This window comes from Homo sapiens, chromosome 6, assembly GCF_000001405.40.
Source record: "Homo sapiens chromosome 6, GRCh38.p14 Primary Assembly".
Classification (NCBI taxonomy): Eukaryota; Metazoa; Chordata; class Mammalia; order Primates; family Hominidae; genus Homo; species Homo sapiens.
The window spans coordinates 105,418,642-105,442,958 of NC_000006.12; the positions used below are offsets into that span (position 1 = coordinate 105,418,642).

The 24,317-nt window shown below is 39.0% G+C and overlaps 1 annotated feature.

The window, feature by feature from the left end:
* Nucleotides 5,780–5,829: an enhancer, noted in NCBI's record as "active region_24869". NCBI's record gives its function as "activates an Ori minimal core promoter by ATAC-STARR-seq in GM12878 lymphoblastoid cells {active_cell/tissue: GM12878}" and the evidence as "EXISTENCE:reporter gene assay evidence [ECO:0000049][PMID:35858748]".

The following is a 24,317-nucleotide window of genomic DNA, read 5'->3' on the forward strand; positions in this document are numbered from 1 at the left end:
CTCCCTAACTCATTTTATGAGGCCAGCATCATCCTGATACCAAAGCCTGGCAGAGACACAACCAAAAAAGAGAATTTTAGACCAATATCCCTGAGGAACATCGATGCAAAAATCCTCAATAAAATACTGGCAAACTGAATCCAGCAGCACATCAAAAAGCTTATCCACTAAGATCAAGTCGGCTTCATCCCTGGGATACAAGGCTGGTTCAACATACACAAGTCAATAAACGTAATTCATCACGTAAACAGAACCAATGACAAAAACCACATGATTATCTCAATAGATGGAGAAAAGGCCTTTGAAAAAATTCAACAGCCCTTCATGCTAAAAACTCTCAATAAACTAGGTATTGATGGAACGTATCTGAAAATAATATCAAACCCACAGCCAATATCATACTGAATGGGCAAAAACGGGAAGCATTCCCTTTGAAAACCAGCACAAGACAAGGATGCCCTCTCTCACCACTCTTATTCAACATAGTGTTGGAAGTTCTGGCCAGGACAATCAGGCAAGAGAAAGAAATAAAGGGTATTCAATTAGGAAAAGAGAAAGTCAAACCGTCCCTGTTTGCAGATGACATAATTGTATATTTAGAAAACCACATCATCTCGGCCCCAAATTTCCTTAAGCTGATAAGCAATTTCAGCAAAGTCTCAGGATACAAAATCAAAGTGCAAAAATCACAAGCATTCTTATACACCAGTAAAAGACAAACAGAGAGCCAAATCATGAGTGAACTCCCATTCTCAATTGCTACAAAGGAATAAAATACCTAGGAATCCAACTTACAAGGGATGTGAAGGACCTCTTCAAGGAGAACTACAAACCACTGCTCAAGGAAATAAAAGAGGACACAAACAAATGGAAGAACATTCCATGCTCATGGATAGGAAGAATCAATATCGTGAAAATGGCCATACTGCCCAAGGTAATTTACAGATTCAATGCCATCCCCATCAAGCTACCAATGACTTTCTTCACAGAGTTGGAAAAAACCACTTTAAAGTTCATATAGAACCAAAAAAGAGCCCGCATTGCCAAGACAATCCTAAACAAAAAGAACAAAGCTGGAGGCATCATGCTACCTGGCTTCAAACTATACTACAAGGCTACAGTAACCAAAACAGCATGGTACTGGTGCTAAAACAGAGATATAGACCAATGGAACAGAACAGAGGCCTCAGAAACAACACCACACATCTACAACCATCTGATCTTTGACAAACCTGACAAGAAATGGGGAAAGGATTCACTATTTAATAAATGGTGCTGGGAAAACTGGCTAGCCATATGTAGAAAGCTGAAACTGGATCCCTTCTTTACACCTTACACAAAAATTAATTCAAGATGGATTAAAGACTTAAATATTAGACCTAAAGCCATAAAAACCCTAGAAGAAAACCTAGGCAATACCATTCAGGACATAGGCATGGGCAAGGACTTCATGTCTAAAACACCAAAAGCAATGGCCACAGAAGCCAAAATTGACAAATGTGATCTAATTAAACTAAAGAGCTTCTGCACAGCAAAAGAGACTACCATCACAGTGAACAGGCAACCTACAGAATGGGAGAAAATTTTTGCAATCTACTCATCTGACAAAGGGTTAATATCCAGAATCTGCAAAGAACTCAAACAAATTTACAAGAAAAACACAAACAACCCCATCAAAAAGTGGGTGAAGGATATGAACAGACACTTCTCAAAAGAAGACATTTATGCAGCCAACAGACACATGAAAAAATGTTCATCATCACTGGCCATCAGAGAAATGCAAATCAAAACCACAATGAGATACCATCTCATACCAGTTAGAATGGCTATCATTAAAAAGTCAGGAAACAGCTGGTGCTGGAGAGGATGTGGAGAAATAGGAACACTTTTACACTGTTGGTGGGACTGTAAACTAGTTCAACCATTGTGGAAGACAGTGTGGCAATTCCTCAAGGATCTGGAACTAGAAATACCATTTGACCCAGCGATCCCATTACTGGGTATATATCCAAAGGATTATAAATCATGCTGCTATAAAGACACATGCACACGTATGTTTATTGTGGCACTATTCACAATAGCAAAGACTTGGAACCAACCCAAATGTCCATCAATGATAGACTGGATTAAGAAAATGTGGCACATATACACCATGGAATACTATGCAGCCATAAAAAAGGATGAGTTCATGTCCTTTGTAGGGACATGGATGAAGCTGGAAAGCATCATTCTCAGCAAACTATAGCAAGGACAAAAAACCAAACACCGCATATTCTCACTCACAGGTGGGAATTGAACAATGAGAACACTTGGACAAAGGAAGGGGAACATCACACACCGGGGCTTGTCGTGGGGTTGGGGGTGGGGAGAGGGATAGCATTAGGAGATATACCTAATGTAAATAACGAGTTAATGGGTGCAGCACATCAACATGGCACATGTATACATATGTAACAAATCTGCACGTTGTGCACATGTACCCTAGAACTTAAAGTATAATTAAAAAAATAAAAGAAAAAGTACTTAATTTCACTAGGAATCAGGGAAATGCACATTTAAACCACAGTGTGGTATCATTACAGATCCACTAGATTAGAAACAATAATTCTGGGCCGGGCGTGGTGGCTACAGCTGTAATCCCAGCACTTTGGGAGGCTGAGGTGGGCAGATCAGGAGGTCAGAAGATCGAGACAATCCTGGCTAACACGGTGAACCCCGTCTCTACTAAAAATACAAAAAAGTAGCCAGGCATGGTGGCAGGCACCTGTAGTCCCAGCTACTCGGGAGGCTGAGGCAGGAGAATGGCGTGAACCCGGGAGGTGGAGTTTGCAGTGAGCGGAGATTGCACCACTGCAGTCCAGCCTCGGCAACAGAGCGAGACTCCGTCTCAAAAAAAAAAAAAAAAAAAAAAAAAAAAGATACAATAATTCCGAAAATACCAAGTATAGGGGAAGGATGTATAACAAGAGAGATTCTTCTCATGCACTTCTTGAAGGAATGTAGATTGGTAAAACCACATTGAAAAGCAGTTTTGCTTTGCCTAGTAAAGTTGAAGATTCATATATGTTACATCAGTAATCCCACTCAGGTATTTTTAAGAGAAGCTTATGGGCATGTGCACCAGGATATACATACAAGAATGTTTATGGCAGCATTTGTGCATAATAGCACCAAACTAGAAACCAAACTTATGTCCACCAATAGTAGATTGAATAAATTGTTGAGTATGTACACAATGGATTATATTATACACACTATTTTTAAATAATAACTACAGATGGTCTCCAACTTATGATGGTTTAACTTATCATTTTTTGACTTTACAATGGGTATATCTGGGTATTAAATGCATTTTTGGCTTACAATATTTTTGACTTATGACAGGTTTATCAGGAGATAACCTCATGGTAAGTTGAGGAACATCTGTATTGATATTTGCTTGACTTTAACAGAAGAAAAAGAAAAAGTAAAACTGATGGAATTGCTGAAACTTCAGATAGACTTTTCTTTAAAACTAGAGATGTTAGGCCAGGAGTGGTGGCTCATGTCTGTAATCCCAGCACTTTGGGAAGCTGAGGTGGGCAGATCACGAGGTCAAGAGATTGAGACCATCCTGGCCAACATGGTGAAAACCTGTCTCCACTAAAAATACAAAAATTAGCTGGTCGTGATGGCGCATGCCTGTAGTCCCAGCTACTTGGGAGGCTGAGGCAGGAGAATTGCTTGAACCTGGGAAGTGGAGGTTGCAGTGAGCTGAGATCGCACCACTGCAGTCCAGCCTGGCAACAGAGTGAGACTCCATCTCAAAAAAAAAAAAAAAAAAAAATCTAGAGATGTTAGTTCTCAAAAGAGCTCTTTGGAGGTAATATTATGAAAAGTAAACAGAACTGCATTTTCCTCTACTTTTTTAGGAGCATCAGTTTAATAAATAATAGTACATATAAAATCATAATGCTATAGTCTTTATGGAATGTTCTTATGTGTGTGCATGTGTGTGTTCTTACTTAAGTACAAGTTTAAACCTCAGACAGTATTTATTGATTTCTTATTTTCTGTCCACTCAGAAAGTCATGGTGGACATGGATTGTTTTAAATTCATGTTTAATTGATCTTGAATTTTCTGGCATAACCCTGGTATCAGAGATACAAGTGGTCTAAGACTACTCTGTGGGCCTGTTTTGTCAACTTATCTGTCATATAATGGAGGGGATGTTTTCTCTAGATACCCCGCTGAGCTGCTGACAATTCAAAGTTCCCTTTGGAGGTCTTGGGGACCAGAGGCTGGTCTCATTGGCCAGTTACATGTGGCAGAGGGAACGAGGGGCCCTCCTTGGAGGCAATAGGACACCCTTTAGGTTGGAGACAATACTTAAAGCCATGCTATGGGACCAAGATCCAAGAACCTGGTTAGGGTTTGAAACCTGCCAAATCTGAAAGTTCCAAAGGCAGACACCAAATTTAGGGTATGAGATCCAGAGTTTGGGGCCTGGAAAATCAAAGCTTTTGTGAATTGTGAACTGTAAAACAGAAAAGAGGGACTTGGAGAAGGTCCTGAGTAATTACTGCTCACAGAACTTAAAGCATTCACAATCTGCCATGACATGCTATTTAGGGACCAGCAAGAAAGCAAGGCACAGGTGGTTCTGCAGTAGTAAAAGCTTGAGGTGGATCACTAGTAAGCATGCTAACTGCCATGTAATGTAAGGAAATCTCCATTTTTATAGACAAAGTATTCCATAGCCTGCCAGTAGGAAAGCTCCTTTGACCCCTCACTGAGCGGTCACTCAGGTCTTCAGGATGTCTTTCTGCACACATTTCTTTCCAAGAGTTAGTGGAGTGAGGCTTCTGGGTTTATACTGGTGTCTTACAGTTGCAGTGTTTCTCAGCACTTGCCATCTACTGGCTTAAGGGACAGCAATTCTGAATGCCCCCTAGGACCTCTTTTTACAGCTTAGACTGGGCAATAAACTCAAAGAAAAAACTCACAGTAAAAATAGTTCACTTGTCCCCTTCTCTAACCCACATATGGAGACAAAACAAATTTCTCATAATATACCAACACTTTTAAAAGTGGAAGCCTAATGATTTGAATTCCAGTGGGTAAGGAAGGAAGCAATGTTTTTATGTCCTCTCCACCTTGGAACAGGGTGGGCTATTTCTCCATTTATGTGGGCTGGCAGCAGATGGGGAGGTAAGGGCTTCTCATGATCCACAGCACCACAGTGCCAGCCCCCTGTCAAGCCTATATCAAGAAGAGGTGTGCAGGAGAAAGCTGAGTGTTAGGATTTCACCTGGGCAGAAGAATCGGGGGTGCCAGTTGCAGATTCCCGAAAGAGTGACTGTGACTTGTTGTGGTCCTTTTCCTGTTCCTGGAGTCAGAAAAAAGGGACCAGCTGCTTACTGATCCATCTTCTTTGAAATGAAGTGGAGATTAATTCCTAATTGTTCCACTTCTCATACCTACACATCACAAGTGTAGGTTCACTCCTGATCATTTCTGTGTGTTTTGTATTGTACTGTATTGTATTGTACTGTATTGTAGACAGGGTCTTTCTCTGTTGCCCACGCTGGAGTGCAGTGCTGACCATTTCTTTATCTTTTCAAGGCAGCCCTGATCCCACAGATAGTCCTTCATCCCTTCTTCACTAACAGCCCCTCAGTACTGGATTCATACTCTCTTTAAGTCCCAGCCGTTTGAGGTTTCAAAGTTTGCTACACTGCCCTCTGCTGGTCTGAACTCGGATTTACCCTAAAATGGGGGGCTCCCATTGCCAAGTACTTGAAGTTCACCCTAGATAAACGGCTTCATCAATCTCTATAGCACTTGATTTCCTTTCCTTATCTGGTGAAGTTTCCTATTCATATAGAACTTAGAGATGCTTAGGCTCTTGGACAGTTTCTGCAAATGTAGCATGAGGCTCTTGGAAAGGGAGACTTCTCTGCTTAAGGTTACTCCCTGGCTCCTGGCTTAATCTTTTCAGTGACATTTAATTCTACGGCCAATATCTGATGTTTACTCTTGTTTCTAAGCCATGGATCCTTTCTTGGTCCTCGAGTACGTTAGCCAATATGTCACCCAGATCCTTAAAAAGAGTTAGGAAACCATTCCCTGAGGTACCCTAGAAGTCTGCAGTGATACCAGTTGCTTCCAGTCTATTCTGATGAATACTGTTCCTATGAAATCACTGGTGCATACCACCTACAACTGCCAAGATCACTCATCCTGTGTGTTTAACCCAGGACTGTCTGCTTCCAGTCTGCTTTAGAAATCACGTACAAATATTTTTAAAAATATTATCTACTAATAAGGCAATCTCTCATCACAGTACAGTACAAACACAAGGTGTGTTATTAAGGATTTATCTGGCACCACAAAATTTGCCATAAAACTTCAAAGTCTTAAGAATAGGATTATCTAAAAAGCTCAACATCACTGATCATTAGAGAAATGCAAATCCAAACCACAATGAGATATGATTTCATGCCAGTCAGAATGGTGATCATTAAAAAGTCAAGAAACAACAGATGCTGGTGAGGCTGCAGAGAGATAGGAACACTTTTTTCTGTTGGTGGGAGTGTAAATTAGTTCAACCATTGTGGAAGATGGTGTGGCAATTCCTGAAAGATCTAGAACCAGAAATACCATTTGACCCAGCAATCCCATTACTGGATATATACCCAAAGGAATATAAGTCATTCTATTATAAAAATACATGCATGTGTATGTTCATTGCAGCACTATTCACAATAACAAAGACATGGAATCAACCCAAATGCCCATCAATGATAGACTGGATAAAGAAAATGTGGTACATATACACCATGGAATACTGTGCAGCCATAAAAAGGAACAAGATCGTGTCCTTTGCAGGAACATTGATGGAGCTGGAAGACATTATCCTTAGCAAACTAACACAGGAACAGAAAGACCAAACACTGCATGTTCTCACTTATAAATAGGAGCTGAACAATGTGAACACATAGACACAGGGAGGGAAACAACACACACTGGGGCCTGCCTGGCAGGGTGGAGGGCATGGATGGAGGGAGAGCATCAGGAAGAATAGTTAATGCATGCTGGGCTTAATACCTAGGTGATGGGTTGATAGGTCTAGCAAATCATAAGGGCGCATGTTTACCTATGTAACAAACCTGCACATCCTGCGTGTGTACCCCAGAACCTAAAATAAAATAAAATAAAAAACGTAAAAAAAAGAATTTTCTTTGCCCTCTATTCCTTTTTTACCTTTCTTGACTTACCTCTTCAGAATCTATTCTCTTAGAACATTTGGTTTTGTGTGTTTGTGGCTGTATACCTACATACCTTTCCATCATTGCCATTAGCTTCTTTCCAACAAGCTTTCACAAGTCTAAGAATTCTTGATTAGATTTTTTTTTTATTTTGCTGGCCTACAGGATTTGACATCCCACTAAAATCTTCTATCCTTCAGATGAACACTTTAGCCCCCAATTCTAAACTTGACTGGATGTTACTCTGTTTGCCTAAAATATTTCTGATTTATTCATATCAGTTTTAAGGCACGTCCATTTCTTATATGTATTTAATTGTTTTATTTAAATTGATCTTTCTGGGTTTTTCTAATTATCACTTATAAGAAAAATCATGCTTCTTATGCATATGGAAGTACATGTTGGAAAATGGATAAAAGAGCCATTTTAAGGATAAAATGCAAATAGTGCATCAGGCCTCAAAATTTCACTTTGAGTTTTCCCTTTAATAACAAAATATGGCCAGGCATGGCCTATAATCCTAGCCTTTGGGGAGGCTGAGATGGGAGGATCACTTGGGCCCAGGAGTTCAAGACCAGCCTGGGCAACATAGGGAGACCCTGTCTCTATAAAAATTTTTAAAAAATTAGCCTAGCATGGTGGTATGTGCCTGTGGTCCCAGCTACTCAGGAGGCTGAGGTGGGAGAATCACTTGAGCCTGGGAGGTTGAGGCGCAGGTGACAGAGCAAGACCCTGTCTCAAGAACCAACTGACCAAACAAACAAAAATATAAGTCTTTCTCAAAAAAGGTAGTCACTTAACAGATATATATGGGTAACACCTATACACAGGACACTGAATTAAACATGGAATTATAAAAAGATGAACATATGTTGACTTGTGCTCAAACATGATCTCAGATTACTATATTAGGATTTCGATGGCCACTTCAGGAGCAAGTCTTTCATTTAATAAATATTTATTGAGTGCTTACCACATTCCAGGTACCATGCTAGAAGCTAGAGATTTATGGAGCCTGGATTTGGGAGGTAACTCTAATCTAGTGCAGTTGGATCTATAGGACAGGATGCTGTGGGAGCACAGATGTCATCTAACTTCGTCTTGGAGGGATAGAGAAGGGTGACCCAAGGTAGTAATGTCTAAATTGAATTTGAGAAATGAGTAAGAAGTAACGAGGTACAGATCAGAAGTAGCGGGGGTGAGCAGCTAGGTGCAGAGTTTAAGGGAGCACCCTATGGAAATGCTGAGGGCTGTGTACAAGGGATGTATGTGAAGGAGTGTGAGAGTTTGGTATGGATGGAGCCTGCATTAGTCTGTTCTCACGGTGCTAATAAAGACATACCCAAAAACTGGGTAATTTATATAGGGAAGAGGTTTAATTGACTCACAGTTCAGTATGGCTGGGGAGGCCTCAGGAAACTTACAATCATGACAGAAGGGGAAGCAAACACATTCTTCTTCTCATGGTGGCAGGAAGAAGTGCAGAGCAAAAGGGGAAAAAACCCATATAAAACCATCAGATCTTGTGAGAACTCACACACTATCACAAGAACAGCAGCATGGGGGTATGCGCCCCCATGATTTAATTATCTCCCTCTGGGTCCCTCCCACCACACATAGGGATTATGGGAACTACAATTCAAGATGAGATTTGGGAGGGGACACAGCCAAACCATATCAGAGCCTACAGAGCAATGTAGGAGTCAGGAGAGATGAAGCTGGAGAGGAAAATTGGTCAAATCATGCAAGTCTCCTATATTCATTGATGATAGGGAACTAGGAGAGATATGCACTGGCTTTATAGTAAATGGCTCCTATAGTGTGTGAGTCAGATAATGTCACAGGCATGATACAAATTATAAGCAGGGTAGGCCTTGCTGCTGCAACAAAGATCTACAAATTCAATGACTTAGAGAACAGAAAGTTTATTTCTTTCTCACTTCATAGGACTGAGTGGTTTCAAGTCAGCAGCTAGAAATGGGAAGAGGAGAAGGTGGGCTCTGCTTTTTGCAGAGACCCCGGCTGACTGCAGCTGTGCTATCTTTAACCCATTGTTTCTAGCATCACCACCCCAGGAAACTAGAAAGAGAAACGGGATTGTAAGTAAGTGGCTTTTATGGGCCAGGTCTGAAAGTAGCACGTACTGCTTCTGTCACATTCCATTAGTCAGAAACCGGTCACATGGTTACACCATATTGCAAAGTACCCTGGAAAATGGAGCCCAGTTTTGTGCTCAGGAAGAAGAGAAAATGGATTTTGGGGAATAGTGTCTGCCACAGTGCTGGAGGGAAGAGCTGGTGGGCTATGAATCAGAACCATTGCTCACTCCTTCTAAGAGCCCTTTCTCTAGTTGCCTCTGCTTATCTCGTAGTCCTGGTCTTCTTTCAATTCCATTTCCCTTATGCAAATACATACAGGGCCTCTTGGATTATTTATCTCAACCCTAGCTACTTGTCATTCCTCAACTAAGATTCATGTTTGATCAATCTCCTCTGACTCTCAGCACAACAGGCTGTTTGCTTGCCCAGCTCAGCCTGTTTTAAGGAGAGAGTCCGACCTTGCTGGTCAGTTGGGGAAGCCAGAAATGCTGGTTGGTAGGTGGCACTCAGCAAGACACTCATTCCAAAGCAACACACACGTAATGAATGCAAGGATTCAGTCACGCTCAGGAGAACACAACAACACTGGCTCCCTTGACCTATTTCCTCAAGACTAAACTTTCAAAAGAGTAACCACACCCAGGCTGACCAGGGAATTGTTAAAAACAGGGATGTCAGCATGCTCTGATCTGACTGCCAACAAAAATATTTCCTTTGTGTTGATGCTTTCTTCATACTGCACTCAGGAAGGGCAAAGAAGTTTGACCTGTCTGGGTTGGAGAGCCCGGTGAACCACTCTCCCCAGGGTTTCTCTCTGGGAGTTACAGAAAGAGGCCTGCATGTTGTTTCTTTCTAATGGGAGTTGAGGCTACCACTTTCATAACCACCGATTAGTCCTATTTGCTATTAGGAAATCTCAGGGCTCTCCATCAAAGGCCTCATTGTTTGGATGTTTTTTTTCTTTCACTTGTGTCACTCTGCTAAGGTACGCTTTCACTCAGCAGTGTCTTCTGGGTCATTTTTATAATGCTGTTAAAGAGAGGATGAAAGTGCTAGAATCAAGAGTTGGAGATACCACTCCTCACCAAGAGTTTAAAACCGACATTGAGCGGAGGTGAGGAGGGATGGGGAATTTGTTGATGAATTTGTATTTATTTGTGTATGTCCCTTGGGTTTGTTTCCTTTTTGTCCAAATCCAGACATTTAAAACTCATATGTCTACGCTCATGATTTATAGAGATCTTCACTGTCATGATAAGCAAAATAGGAAGAAAAGGAAAATAAACAAATAAAAAATAAATAAAAAGGAATTCTGAGTGTTAGGGCTTTTTATTTCTGTCTTCATGTAATATATAAGCCTCATAGAAATACAGGTAAGGACTTGATTTCCTCTAAAGCCATTTCAAGCATTATAGTATATGAGAAATTTGCATTTTAATATTGTCTAAAAACATCGTGTTGTTATTATTGACCACCTGATTCTTAGCCATATTTCAAATTAAGCTAGCCATATGAAATAGTAGTTCTTCCATTAGTAATGCCATCTCTTATTCTTAGTCTTTTTTTTTTAAGGATTTCACTAAAACATTTATTCTAAGAAGCCCTCTTTCATTCACCTCGATTTGACTGGGATTATTTCTTTAAATTTTACATTTGTATCCCAGATGTGGCAAGGCCCTAGGACCAATCAGGATAGTCCAGGTAATGTTGAGGTAATGATCCCAGAATCTCAGTGGCTTAAATCAGCAAAAGTGTGTTTCTCCTTCGTGCTCCAGGTCCAGTGTGGCTCAGCACATGTGGAGTCACTCAGGGACCAGATCCAGATCCACAGAGGCTCCATCCTAATGTGTTCCGTAAGCATCCTGTTAGAGTGAAGAGAACGTGGTGAAATACATACTGACTTGGAAAGCTTCTATCTGGAAGTGGTGTGTCACCTCTGCTCATGTTTTTTTGGCCAAAGGAAGACACATGTTCACAATTAACTGCATATCAATAAGTAGCAAAGGATAGGTTAAATTAACAAACACTCCCGTCCATATGAGTAAGTATCACAGTTTTAAAGCATTCTCTCAGACATTTCAGCAAAGGATAGGTTAAATTAACAAACACTCCCGTCCATATGAGTAAGTATCACAGTTTTAAAGCATTCTCTCAGACATTTCAGCAAAGGATAGGTTAAATTAACAAACACTCCCGTCCATATGAGTAAGTATCACAGTTTTAAAACATTCTCTCAGACATTTCAGGGAGGTTGGAAGGGTAGGTTAATAATTTACTCATTCTATATATAGGGAAACCAAGGCTTAGAGAGATTTTTTTTTTTTTAAGGTCAAAGAACTTTCCTTTAGATTAGCTAATCATGATTACCAGTTTTTTTTTTTTTTAAATCTACAAATTTTCAGCATTATATTTTGTAATGTGCAAATTGATAAGCACCAATTCTGTGGCACAGATCTGGTGTTCAGAGTAATAGAAACAAAACAGCATTTGTCCAGCTATGTCACCATCAGCAATTGAGAGAAGTCTAAGCCCATTTCAGAGTCTTCCATCTGAACTAATCCCAGGAGTCACAAGGATGCTTACTATGTACTAATAAATGTGGTCAGCCAGGTGCCATGCGTGCTCTGTCCCTGCCCTGACTCTCCAAGGTAACAGTCCCCAGTAAGCCACCCTTTGATGCTGCTGTTGAAGGAACTTATGCCCTTCCCAGAGTGATGATGGTGCCTGTGAAATCCACTGAGGCCTCAGAGGAGCTATCTTCTTTCACTTAGGAAGCCAGCACCCACAGTATCCTCAAGAAGTGTGAAGCACTCTTTTAGTTTTTATTGACTCTTGTTCCAGCTGTTTCTCATTCAGACTCAATCATGAGCCCTCAGCCACTCTGAAACACATTAACCTCTGCGCAGGCTCTTCTGTGTCCTCTTGGGTCAGACTTGTGGGCCTGAACTCTCTTCTCTCATAGAGATGAGTTATTTCCCAGAAGGCTGTTCAATTGCTCATGCAAACAGCCAACTGGTGGACCCACCTTCCCCTTCGGCCAGACATACCCGCACTTGTTTGAATGTCACATTAGACAGCCATAGAATTGTTCCTTCATAATATGGTAAAAAAATATTACTAGTTAATATAATGGATTGAAACACGTCAGTATTTCATGGTGTTGTGTAAAGAGCACTTCAGGTGCTCTGCCACCTACATAAGTTCGATAATAAGGGGCATGGGAAAATCAACACTGCACTCCAAGGCCCGAACCCCCAAACCTATGTTCTTGCCTCAGATCTGTCTCCCTTTGAGTGACCTTGGGAAAGTCACTTGGCCCTGCTAGGCCCTTTTATCATGCATAGAATGAAGGAAGTAGTATGTTTCTAAGGACTTTTTCAAGCATGCAAGTTTGCGATTTGTGGAGACAAGATTTATCATTTGCAATTACTGTCAACAGGTGGCAGCAAAAACCCAATTTTTAGTGACAAGAAAAGAATGTTAGCTGCCTTTGATTAATCCTCAGAATTTCAGAGAACATTTAATTAATTGTATTCATTTTAAATATGATGAAAAAACCATAATCTCCATATTTAAAGATGCTTCATGATAGAAAGACTGTATGTACAATATATGTTATCAAGTGAATTGAAAAGTAGGGCTTTTAAAATGGGCATGTTTCATAAACCATTGAGCTGAATACTTTTCTTCCAGTCATTTTGAATGTGGGTAGAGGTCTTAGGATAGTAAAACTGCCATATTAAGTGATATTTCAGAACAGGTCTTTTATATCTATTTTTAAGTTAAATGTGGAAGGATAAACTAACAACTTCAGGAATTCCTTTTTAAGTGTTGTATAAGTTTTTTTTTTTTTTTTTTGGCAGGGTCTTGCTCTGTTGCCCAGGCTGGTGTGCAGTGGTGCAATCATAGCTCACTGTAGCCTCAACCTCCCGGGCTCAAGCAATCCTCCTACATCAGCCTCCCAAGTAGCTGGGACCACAGGTGCATGCCACCATGCCCGGCGAGTTTAATTGTATTTTTTGCAGAGTTGGAGTCTCACATGTTGCCCAGGCCAGTCTTGAGATCCTGAGCTCAAGCGATCCACCCACCTAGGCCTCCCAAAGTTCTGGGATTACAGGCATGAGCCACCACATGCAGCAGTTTCTTATGTAAAGGGTGTTGAGAAAAAGCTGACATACATAGCAACATTACAATATCATTACATTTTACATTTTACCATAGCTCATATCACATTAAATGAATTCCAAAGAACTTTTGAAAAATGTAAAACTTTATTTGTTAGCATTTTTCTAATTTTAACAGTTGGAAATGAATGGGCTGTTTTTGGAACTTTGAAAAGTTTTTGCTAGCCAAAGGTTTTGTTGCAATGAACTAGAACACAAATGTAAAAATATATACGGATATGTTATTAAATTGTCAATGCAAACTTGATTCCATTTCATTTAATATTGTGAGCAAAACAATGATATATGAAACTGAGAAAAGTGCTATGGAAAAGACTAAGATAGGAGCTATATTGCAGGCATAGTCTCTTACAGGAATTTATAATTTTAATAAAGTGAATACCTAGATACTATGTTACTCTATTAAAACTGGAGAGGGTATACAAGCTATCATCTTGAGCTTTTCCTGAATTACAGACTTGTACTTTCAACTGCCTCCTTGACATCTCTACTTAGCCTTAGTATGGACAAAAGAGAAATTTATGTGAACAAATAACTTTAATTTACTAAGATATCAGATCCCTTGATCTGGAGATTTAATTACATTATTTATTAGCAATGTTTATAAAATTCTTTATATTATAAAAATCGCATAAGTCTAAATCAACCACCATCATCAATCATCAACATTATAGTAGACAAAGAGTGGAAAAAATAAGAGATACGATCTTGTTGGTCAATTTGTATGATTCATACAAAAATCTGAAAAATGCTCCTAAGCTTTTATAGAAGTAAGTACATTCTTCTTAGATGAGTCACAAATTCCTATTTTACAGCTGAAGAGATTTAATGGTGAAATGACTGGCACAAAGCCCCACATTCTCCGGACTTCACATTTGGTATTTTGTACCTAAACTGGCTCTTACCCTGATCCTTGCTGACTGTTCCTCCTACTTCTTGCAGAGAGGTTATAACCCATTGGTCTGTAGCTGCACTGCCCAGTGAGGTACCCACTAGCCACTATGGCTTTCAAATGGAAATTAAATACAAATAAAATTTAGTTCTTCAGTTGCTTCAGCTACGTTTTAAGTCCTTAGTAGCCATGTTTGACTAGTGGCTACCAGATTGGACAACAAAGATATAGTACATTTCCAATATTACAGAAAGTTCTGCTGGATAACACTGGTCTAGAGTGTGGAACACTGTGGCTATCTACCTGTCCAAGTGCCATCTTTTCTGTATATAATGCCCAACTTTTACAACTTCAAACATATAAAATACACATTGGTAGGAAATTGCACACTTGCTTTCAAATTGCTCCTCTCAGCCAGTGATTTCTCTTTGGGTAGTAAAGTTGAGGATGGTAATTATTAAGTGGCTACAGTATATCACAAGAAATACAATATTATGATACCATTGAAAGAAAATGTCTCTTGAAATTCTTTCCTAAGCTAACTTTCATTGCCTGATATAGAATAATTTTTTTCTTCTACCTAGAGGGAGCTCATTATTGTTTTTTTGGACCAAATAAACTGTAAATATCTAGCTACTACTGGACAGTGTGCCGTCAAGTAGAAAAGGTAGGCAGTAGCATAATAAGCTACTCTTTGACCCTCTCCTTCCCAGACGGTCTTGACTGCCTGTATTTAAGAAGCTGGGGCACAGGACACACAATCATAGTGGACTCTGTGTGGTACCTGTTCCTTGATCCATGAGTGAATCCTGTCAATGTGACTATTTCTTCTACTTTAGAATGGTTGTGGTGAGTCAGCCAACTCAGAGTGGCTACTTATTCTCCCTCAGGGCCGGGAGTTGTGGAAAAATGTTAAATTGAAGTGTGTCTTTCCTCAGTGAAAATACTACATTACAGTCAGTCGTCTGCATCTATGGGTTCCACATCCATGAATTCAACCACCTGTGGGTTGAAATTATTTGGAAAAGAACCCAATAAAAATAACTATACAACAATAAAAAATAATGCAAATAAAAACCAAAACAGTATAACAACTATTTACGTAGCACTCACATTGCATTACGTATTATAAGTAATCTAGAGATGATTTAAAGTATACAGGAAGATGTGTGTAGGTTATATGCAAATATGATATCGATACCATTTTCTATAAGAGACTTGAGCACCTGTGGATTTGAGTACCCAAGGATGTCCTGGAACTAATCCCCTGAAGATACCAAAGGACAACTGTATTTTGTGTTGGCATAATATTCTAGAATAAGATTTAAGGACACTATTATCCCCTTTTATGGGCTAAAATAATTTAGAGAGAATCTCTCAGTAAGGATGAATACATCTTTGCTGAATGGCAGGATAGTTCTAATATTTCAGATGTAGTTATTGGTGAACATATTCTATCTTTGAATGCAGTATTTGATATTGTGCATATTTTTCATGAAACTTAATGGTTGGATTTATTTTTAATTTGTTTGAAATGTTGGATTCAATAACAATGATTCCAACAATTTAAATGAATAAAACTCTGGGTACAACTTAGTATCCAGAGTACCAGATTGAGAGTCAAGAAACCTGACTTGTCTCTAGAATGGATTTGCTCAGCTCTTGAGTTGAGGTGTTATAAAACCTAGTAATCTTGCCTATGAGATGGACTTGATTAAGCCATTTTAGTTACATCATGAGAGATTCTCAGTTACTCTAAGAAGTGATGGGAAAGTGAAAAAGCATGTTCTTTTCCTGTAGCTACTACTGTATCTGACATCCCTTTGTGGTCACTGAGGCAGGGCACATATGGCTGAAAGGTATGGTAAGAACGTTCTCTCTCTGGGATGTTCCCGGATGTAAGTCAAAAACTTGCCCACACTTTGAGGCAGTGGCAGTCTGGATGTACCTGCTCTGATACTCCAGGGCTATAGAGCAGCCTTAAAGCAAAGAATTGAGACATAGACATGATTTTTAAAGTATTCTATTCAGCTATGCTGATATCTAGAATTACTTTAAATTAAGTCATTGGAAAATATTGGGCAATTATACCAAATTTCTGGCAGACTGTGATTGGAGTGATAGATATCTTAGAAATAGATTCCTGTGTTCAGTTGGTATTTTGTGGTAGGGGTCTTCGTACTTTGGGGATGTGGAGTTAGGGGAATTGGGTTTGCCTTTTTGCTCTGCCTATCAGCTTCTTACTAACTCATTCATAAAATAAAGATGAGTCTATTTCAAAGATCTGTTCCACTCTTCAGATATAGCTTTTTATGGTTTTATCAAAATTTATTTTAAGAGTATATCATAAAAGAGTATTTTTAGAGTAATCCACAAAGACTGGTGCATATTTATTAAACAATCAGAACTTGCATGCTTGAAAAAAATCTTAAAACTTTTTTGTTTTAATTCTTAATTTAGAGATGGGTTCTCAATATATTGCCCAGGCTGGCCTCAAACTCCTTGGTTCAAGAGATCCTCCCACCTCAGCCTCCTAAATAGTTGGGACTACAGATGTGTACCACTGCCTCCTACTAAAGAAATCTTTAATTCCTGCCACTGGAAGATTAAATTGTTCAGGTCTTATTCCTACTTCATTTACTTTAACAAAATCAAACATTTTTTATTTCAGAATAGTTTTGGACTCACAGAAAAGTTGCAAGGAGAGTAAGAGAACTCCCATATACTTTGTAGCCATTTTTTCCTATTATTAACATCTTATATTTACTGTGGTATATTTGTTATAACAATGAACCAATAATAATACATTGACATTAACTGAAGTCCATACTTTATTCAGATTTCCTTTAGTTTTTACCTAATGTCTTTTTCTGTTCTAGGAAGGATCCCATCCAGGATACTATATTACATTTAGCTGTCATGTCTCTTTAGGGTCCTCTTGGCTGTGACAGTTTTTCAGACTTTTCTTGTTTTTGATAACTTTGACAGTTCCGTGGTGTGCTGGTCAGCTATTTTGTAGAAAGTCCTTCCATTGGGATTTGCCCATTTTTCTTATGATTAGGCTGCAGTAATGGGTTTGGGGGAGAAAGACCACAGAGGTGAGATGGCCCACTCATCACCTCATCTCAAGGGTACACGCCATCGGCCAGACTTATCACTGTTGCTGTTAACCTTGAGCATCTGGTCAGGATAGTGTTTGTCAGGTGTCTCTGCTGTAAAGTTACTTTTATCCCCCCTCTCCTTTCAGTAGTCTTTGGAAGAAAATCACTTTACACAACCCACTGTTAAGACATGGGAAGATTTAACTCATTTTTAAGTCACCATCCATTGAATTTTAGAGTAAAATCTCGTTAATGTTAGGCACAGCTTTGAGACTATTAGGTAAGTTTGGTGGCAAACTGTCCTGTAAGTTCTTACTAACCTGGAATAAAATTTCTGGGGGAAAAAAGAAAAGGGCTATGACTTGTCCTTCTTCTTTGATATTTTTTTATCCCTTCTTTTGCAGGGAGTTATAAGGTACACTTACACTTAAGTACAAAACAACATGATTCTCTCCCCATCCCCCACAGTCTAGCAAAAACAATCTATCGCCTTAAAATAGGAAGAAAATATGCTTCTTTTTCATTGCTTTAGCAAAGGATTGCGGGAGATCTGGATCAATAGCATTTTTCCAAGTTGTAGTTATGTGAATCCTAATATTTACATTAAACAGTTTTTGTGCTTCAGCATCTTTGAAACTTTCTTTGGTCCCCACCCTTTTAGGAACAACAAATTCCTAAAGCGTGAATGTTTACGACAAAACAAAATATTCTCAGCCTTTCATTCTATTTTTTTTAAAATTACAGAAGTAATATATGTTTTTTTAAAGTAAAAAAAGTTAAAACAATCCAGAAGTACATAAAGTGTAAAAGTAGAAGTCTTCCCTGGCTCTGCATGTGGTAGAATTGACTCCATTATTAAATGTTGTTTTTTTGGCTTTCTATCACAGATGATAGTGTTATTTTATTAAATATGCTCCACTATAACGTAGTATGTAGCAATTAAATGGGGGAAAAGACATGTTTGAAATTTGGCTTGGACTGTTAACTTGTTACTTATTTAATCAACTATCTAGCAAATGATGTTCTAGATGCTGGAGAAATGTAGGGGTATACATGATGCAAAAGCAAATTATCTGTCCTCAGAGGAACCCATGGTACAGATACAGAGGGACAGACCTCCATAAACGACAAAGAAGTTAACAAATGTCTTCCATCCAAGCACATCTGTCACATGTAGAACTTGAAAACTAATTTTTGCTTGGCTAATATGATTATGACCTACTCAGAGTATATTTTTAGTTTATTTAGTTTGTTAAATTTGGAACAAAAAGCTCTGAGCTAATTTTCAGAATGAGTGTGAACTGGTTCGTTTAACTATGTAACACAATTTCACCATTTTTCTGAGACTGCACATGGTAGTTCTGTTTTTTTAAGATGATGAAAAAAGATTTTATCCTCTGATCATGCCAAGAAGGGAAGACTCAGAATCTATCATCCTAATCTTTTCAAGCATATCAAGTACAGCTTTGATGATGAAAGAATTTTTATGGAATAAGTTTGGTGCCTAAACAAATCTCCTACTATTTTCCTACCTGTAATGATATAAGAAAATGTATATCTGCCAACAATCACTCATTCACTAAACAGGAACTAATTTTAATGTAAATTATTTATGATTAAATCAGCTTTGAAGTATTATATCAGGAAATTGTGAAAGACCAAAAAAACTCATAATTTATTTTCATTTATTTACAGACCCTTTTGATACACATGAAATGTCTCATAATAGTAGTCTTCTGTGTATATAGAATTTTACATTATTTTTTCATTATATGTTTCATAAATATTTTTCCATGTACATCATCACACTATTTTCATGGTTGCCTAATATTCCACAGCATTGATATTTTGTTATTCAATTATCCTCTATTGTTGGAAATTTAGATTTTTCCAGTTTTAGATAGTATAATGCTTCTCTAGGCATCTCTCTTTATTTGGAGATTTCCAGTAATATCATTTTCTCCTCTTGAATTATTTCCTGAAGATATATTTCCAAAAATAGGATTATCATGTTGCCTTGTATTTGATATGCATTGTCAAGTTGTTCAAAAGAAATGCTGCCAATTGACAAAACCTAGAATGATAATGGATGAACCTCTTTTTCTGAAGCCCCCTGCCAATACTATAATGACGTAATTCCCTTCGTGGTAAGCAACAAAACTCAGATTTATTTCTGATTTTATTGGTAAATCTTGGAGTAATTTAGAAATCTCCCTTTACTAACATAAGGCACGTGATATCAATCCATAGATCATGTTCCTAATAACAGGACTGTGTTCACAGACAGCAGAAACGCACTGTAGGCTCTGCCTAAGAACTTGACTTAGGCCAGCCTCATTATCTTCCTTCCTCCCTCCTCCCTCTCACCCTTCTTCACCCTTCTTTCTTTCCTTTTTTTTTTTTTTTTTTTTAGATGGAGTTTTGCTCTTTTTGCCCAGGCTGGAGTGCAATGGCGCGACCTCAGTTCACTGCAACCTTCACCTCCTGGGTTCGAGTGATTCTCCTGCCTCAGCCTCCTGAGTAGCTGGGATTACACAGGCATGGGCCACCACACCGGGATAATTTTTGTATTTTTAGTGGAGACAGGGTTTCACCATGTTGGCCAGGCTGGTCTTGAACTCCTGACCTCAGGTGATCTCCCTGCCTCGGTCTCCCAAAGTGCTGGGATTACAGGTGTGAGCCACTGCACCCGGCTCCCTTTCTTTCATTCTAAATTAGATTCTGAATGGCTGAAACTGGAACAGGGCCAACACTGGTGACAATAGAATGGTGAGTACCAACGTCCTACTAACTCAAAGGGCCTTTGATTCCCTGAGAGTGGCCTGTAATTTTTTGGTTTTCTGCAGGGAAGCGGAGAGAATGGTGCCATCTTGCATCCCTGGGAACTTTGCCTAGTGGAAGAGTGAATGATATTCTGCTGAGGGAGATTTCCCCTATGACCGCCCTCTCCCTCAGTGAACACTTGTGTGATCACTGCTGTTGATCATAAAGAGAATCGAACTAATACAAAGGAAAAAACAGTCCCATAATATATTGTGAGCAAAACAAATTGCTGAATAAAGTACAATATCAACTTAGATTGCCTGGGACATTTCGTTGTTATTAGGATACAAAAAGACTCCCTTTTCAGAGGTAGCTTTCTAAAGACAGGTCTAAAATAATCTGCTAGGGCCCGCAGTCTGAACTTTGACAATTATGCAAAATAAAGGACAAAGAAGAGATTATCAATAATAATAATTTATCAATGGGAGTGTGTTCTCTGCCTTTCAATGGGTCTTGAACCCTTCAAATGGCACTATTGTCTCCTTAGATGGAGCTGACCAGGCAACCTTCCCGGGAATCTTTGTTGCCTTCCTTGAAAAACATTTAAAACAAACAAGCCCCTTTCTCTTCCCAGAGACAGTACAAGCGATATTAATGGTTATCTACCTGTGATAAGCACAACAGTCTCATTTTACCTGACTTGAAAGGGTCATCTGTACTGTCAAGCCCAATTAACTTGTCTTACTCTCACACAAGAAAGGAAGGTTACTGAAAGGCCACATCTTGCTTTATATCTTGGCTGCTCTGGTACAATGACCTGATCAAAGGCCATCAAAGCGTCAGTCCAATAAAGCCAGATCCTGCTTTTTTAGGACACGGACATAGCGCCACACATGGGAGCTTGCAGGTTCTTACTGAAAGGCTCAGAAGCCAAGATGGAATTTTATATAAATAGGGTCTCCCAGAGGTTGAGAGAGGCACTAGGCTACTTCCCAATTTTATAATGAGGTTATAAAAAATGTGATATATTTTAAATGTTCACTGTTAATGAATTAATGCTTTAAGTACATAATTAATGCAATATAATTGGGCTTTTCATAAAATAATTACATGACTTATAAAAAGTATTTAATTTAAAGTGCACTATAGGCAGGATGCCTGTAATGGGACAGAAGCTTATAACTGAATGATAAATATCTTCTGTCAATCATGCGTATGTATCTGTGAGACTCCCTTTGGGGAAAATCACCAAAAGCTCACATTTGAAGTCCTGGGTGAATGGGAAGCCTGAGTAAATTCCCAGTCAATGACTGAACTGTCACCCCTGAGATAAGTTCTATTTGCATGTTTCAAGCAGGTCACAAAACTCTTTACTTGTCTGTTCCACAGATCCTGTGTCAGTGCTACAAATCTATTGGATACTCAAATGTCTGTTGGTATACTTGGTTCTGTTCCACAGAATTCTAATGCTAGAAACAAACAAACAAACAAACAAAAAAACCTTATTTATTTCTTTTCCTGTTTCTAGGAAAGCTTGACTCGACATCATTGCCCTAGGTGCCTATCTACATGAGTGCCAGTGTGATTCTTGCTTCCTTTAATGGTTCATTTTGAGGTTTATAAGTACAATTTTTTGAAACAAAATTAAATGAGACTGGGATTATTTGATTTGGAAAGAAAGGAATTTGACAGGGTTCCCAGATGTTCCATATGGATGGGATTCTTCTGTTTTTAAAAGAACAACAACACACACACACACACTCACACACACTCACTTGCTGACATGCACTCACACATGTAGTATTTGTGCCCAGATTAGACACTACAGTGCATTACCGTTAACACAAATTTTGTCAAAATATGTACCAAATTCTGGCAAACCTAGCAAAGATGAACAGTGATAAACATCTTCAAGTATCTATACATCCTCTGGATAAAGTTTAAAACCAGATTTGTCTACATTTCTACTATGAATATAAAGGAATAAATAGATTTAAACTAGGTTAGACCAGGAATTGATTTTAGACAGGAGAACGGTTAAACTTCAGAATATATTGCCAAGAAAATTTGTGGAGGTGTATCCTCTGATGGGATGAAAATCTTAAAATCAAAACAAGGCAATTTCCTCTGATGTAAGTGATTTTTTTTTTTTTTTTTTTTTTTTTTGAGACAGAGCCTCAGTCCGTTGCCCAGTCTGGAGTGCAGTGGCACAATCTTGGCTCACTGAAACCTCCACCTCCTGGGTTCAAGCAATTCTCCTGCCTCAGTCTCCAGAGCAGCTGGGACCACAGGTGCCCACCACCATGCCCAGCTAATTTTTGTATTTTTTGTAGAGATGGGGTTTCACCATGTTGTCCAGGCTGATCTCAAACTCCTTAGCTCAAGTGATCCACCCTCCTTGGCCTCCCACAGTGCTGAAATTACAGGCCTGAGCCACTGCACCCGTACTGATGTAAGTGATTTGATTGTTTCTCTGATACAGAAGAGGAATAAATGAGGAAAAATCATTAAGTTCTTTTAGAATTTTTAAAGTATATTTATATTCTACAATTTTATAATTAAATTTAACTTTCTTGAAATATCTCTAATAACCTATTTTTTTGTGGGGAGAAGGGAGAGGGCCACTCCTTTCTGAAGATTCTCAACTCAACTGTATAGGCTGAGTCATGACTTGAATTTTAAAAATACGTTTGAATGTATTCGTTTTTTTTAAATCAGGTCAGAGTTTGAGTTCTGGTGTCCTGAGGCATTTTGGAAATGAAAGTTCAATACTTAGAAAAGAGGGAAAGCCAATAAAAGATAAGCCTGGAATTATTGGGAGCCCATTTTAGCTGTAATAAGGAGATGGCAAATGGACATGGTAGAGCTCATCGGAGCTCTGTACAGAAGCTCTCAGTAGTCCTTGGAGTGTGGGCCAATGGTCCTTCTGAGCAGAAGCCCTTAAGTGCACATAATAAAGGCAAAGAACATAAGCTGGGCAGCAGAAGATAAGCATAGCATACAACACCTTGATGTTCTCTGTCTTCTTTCCTTGCCTCTCTCCAAGTTAGTAGGCAGAGGTGCTATTCCAGATAAATGCCAGCACCAAGTGTCTGTGTCTGGTAGGCTTGACCATTTTTAATAGATATTTTTGGACAAAACAGAGCCTTACAACTTAACTAATCAATGGATCCGTTGAACAAATGGTTTTGGGAATGTCTTTGGGTATCACTGTCTACTCTGGTAGGCAAAATTATGGGTCCCCAAAGATATCCATGTCCTCATCCCTAAAACTTGTGAATCTGTTACCTTACATGGCAAAGGAGAATTAAGGTTGCAGATGGAATTAAGGTTGCTACTCTGCTGACCTTAAAATAGAGAGATTATCCTGGATCATTCATGTGGGCCCATGTAACTACGAGGGCCCTTAAAAATGGAAGGGGGAGGCAGTAAAGTAGGTAAGAGGAATGTGATATAAGAATGACTTGCTTGCTGTTGCTGGCTTTGGAGAGAGGGCAGAAGACCTGGAGCCAAGAAATGAGGGAAATCTCTGGCAGCTGGAAAAGGCATGGAAACGAATTCTCTCCTAGAGCCTTCAGAGAGGAATGCAGCCCTGCCCACCCCTGGATTTTAGCCCAGTAAGACCTATGTTGGACTTTTATTCTATAGAACTATAAAACAATGAATTTACATTGTTTCAACCACAAATTTTGCAGAGACTTGTTACTGCAGCCATAAGAAACTAATACATTTACTCAACAATGACATTCCTCTTATTGCACTAAGTAGCCCATTGGAGGAAGAAAACCACAACCATGATTATATTTGCCCATGGCAATGAAGATGATTAGTGATACTATATTCTTCCACCTCAAAATGGAGACACTGATCAACCTCACAGCCAAATATATTTGCCTCTTCCACTTCTCCAACACAAGCTCTCCTCACTGTCCCCTGAATAGGTAAGAACACATGGTAGAAAGCTTTCACATGCATGACACATTTTGTTGGGAGTACTCAGGGTTAGGTTTAAATGCCTGTGAATGAG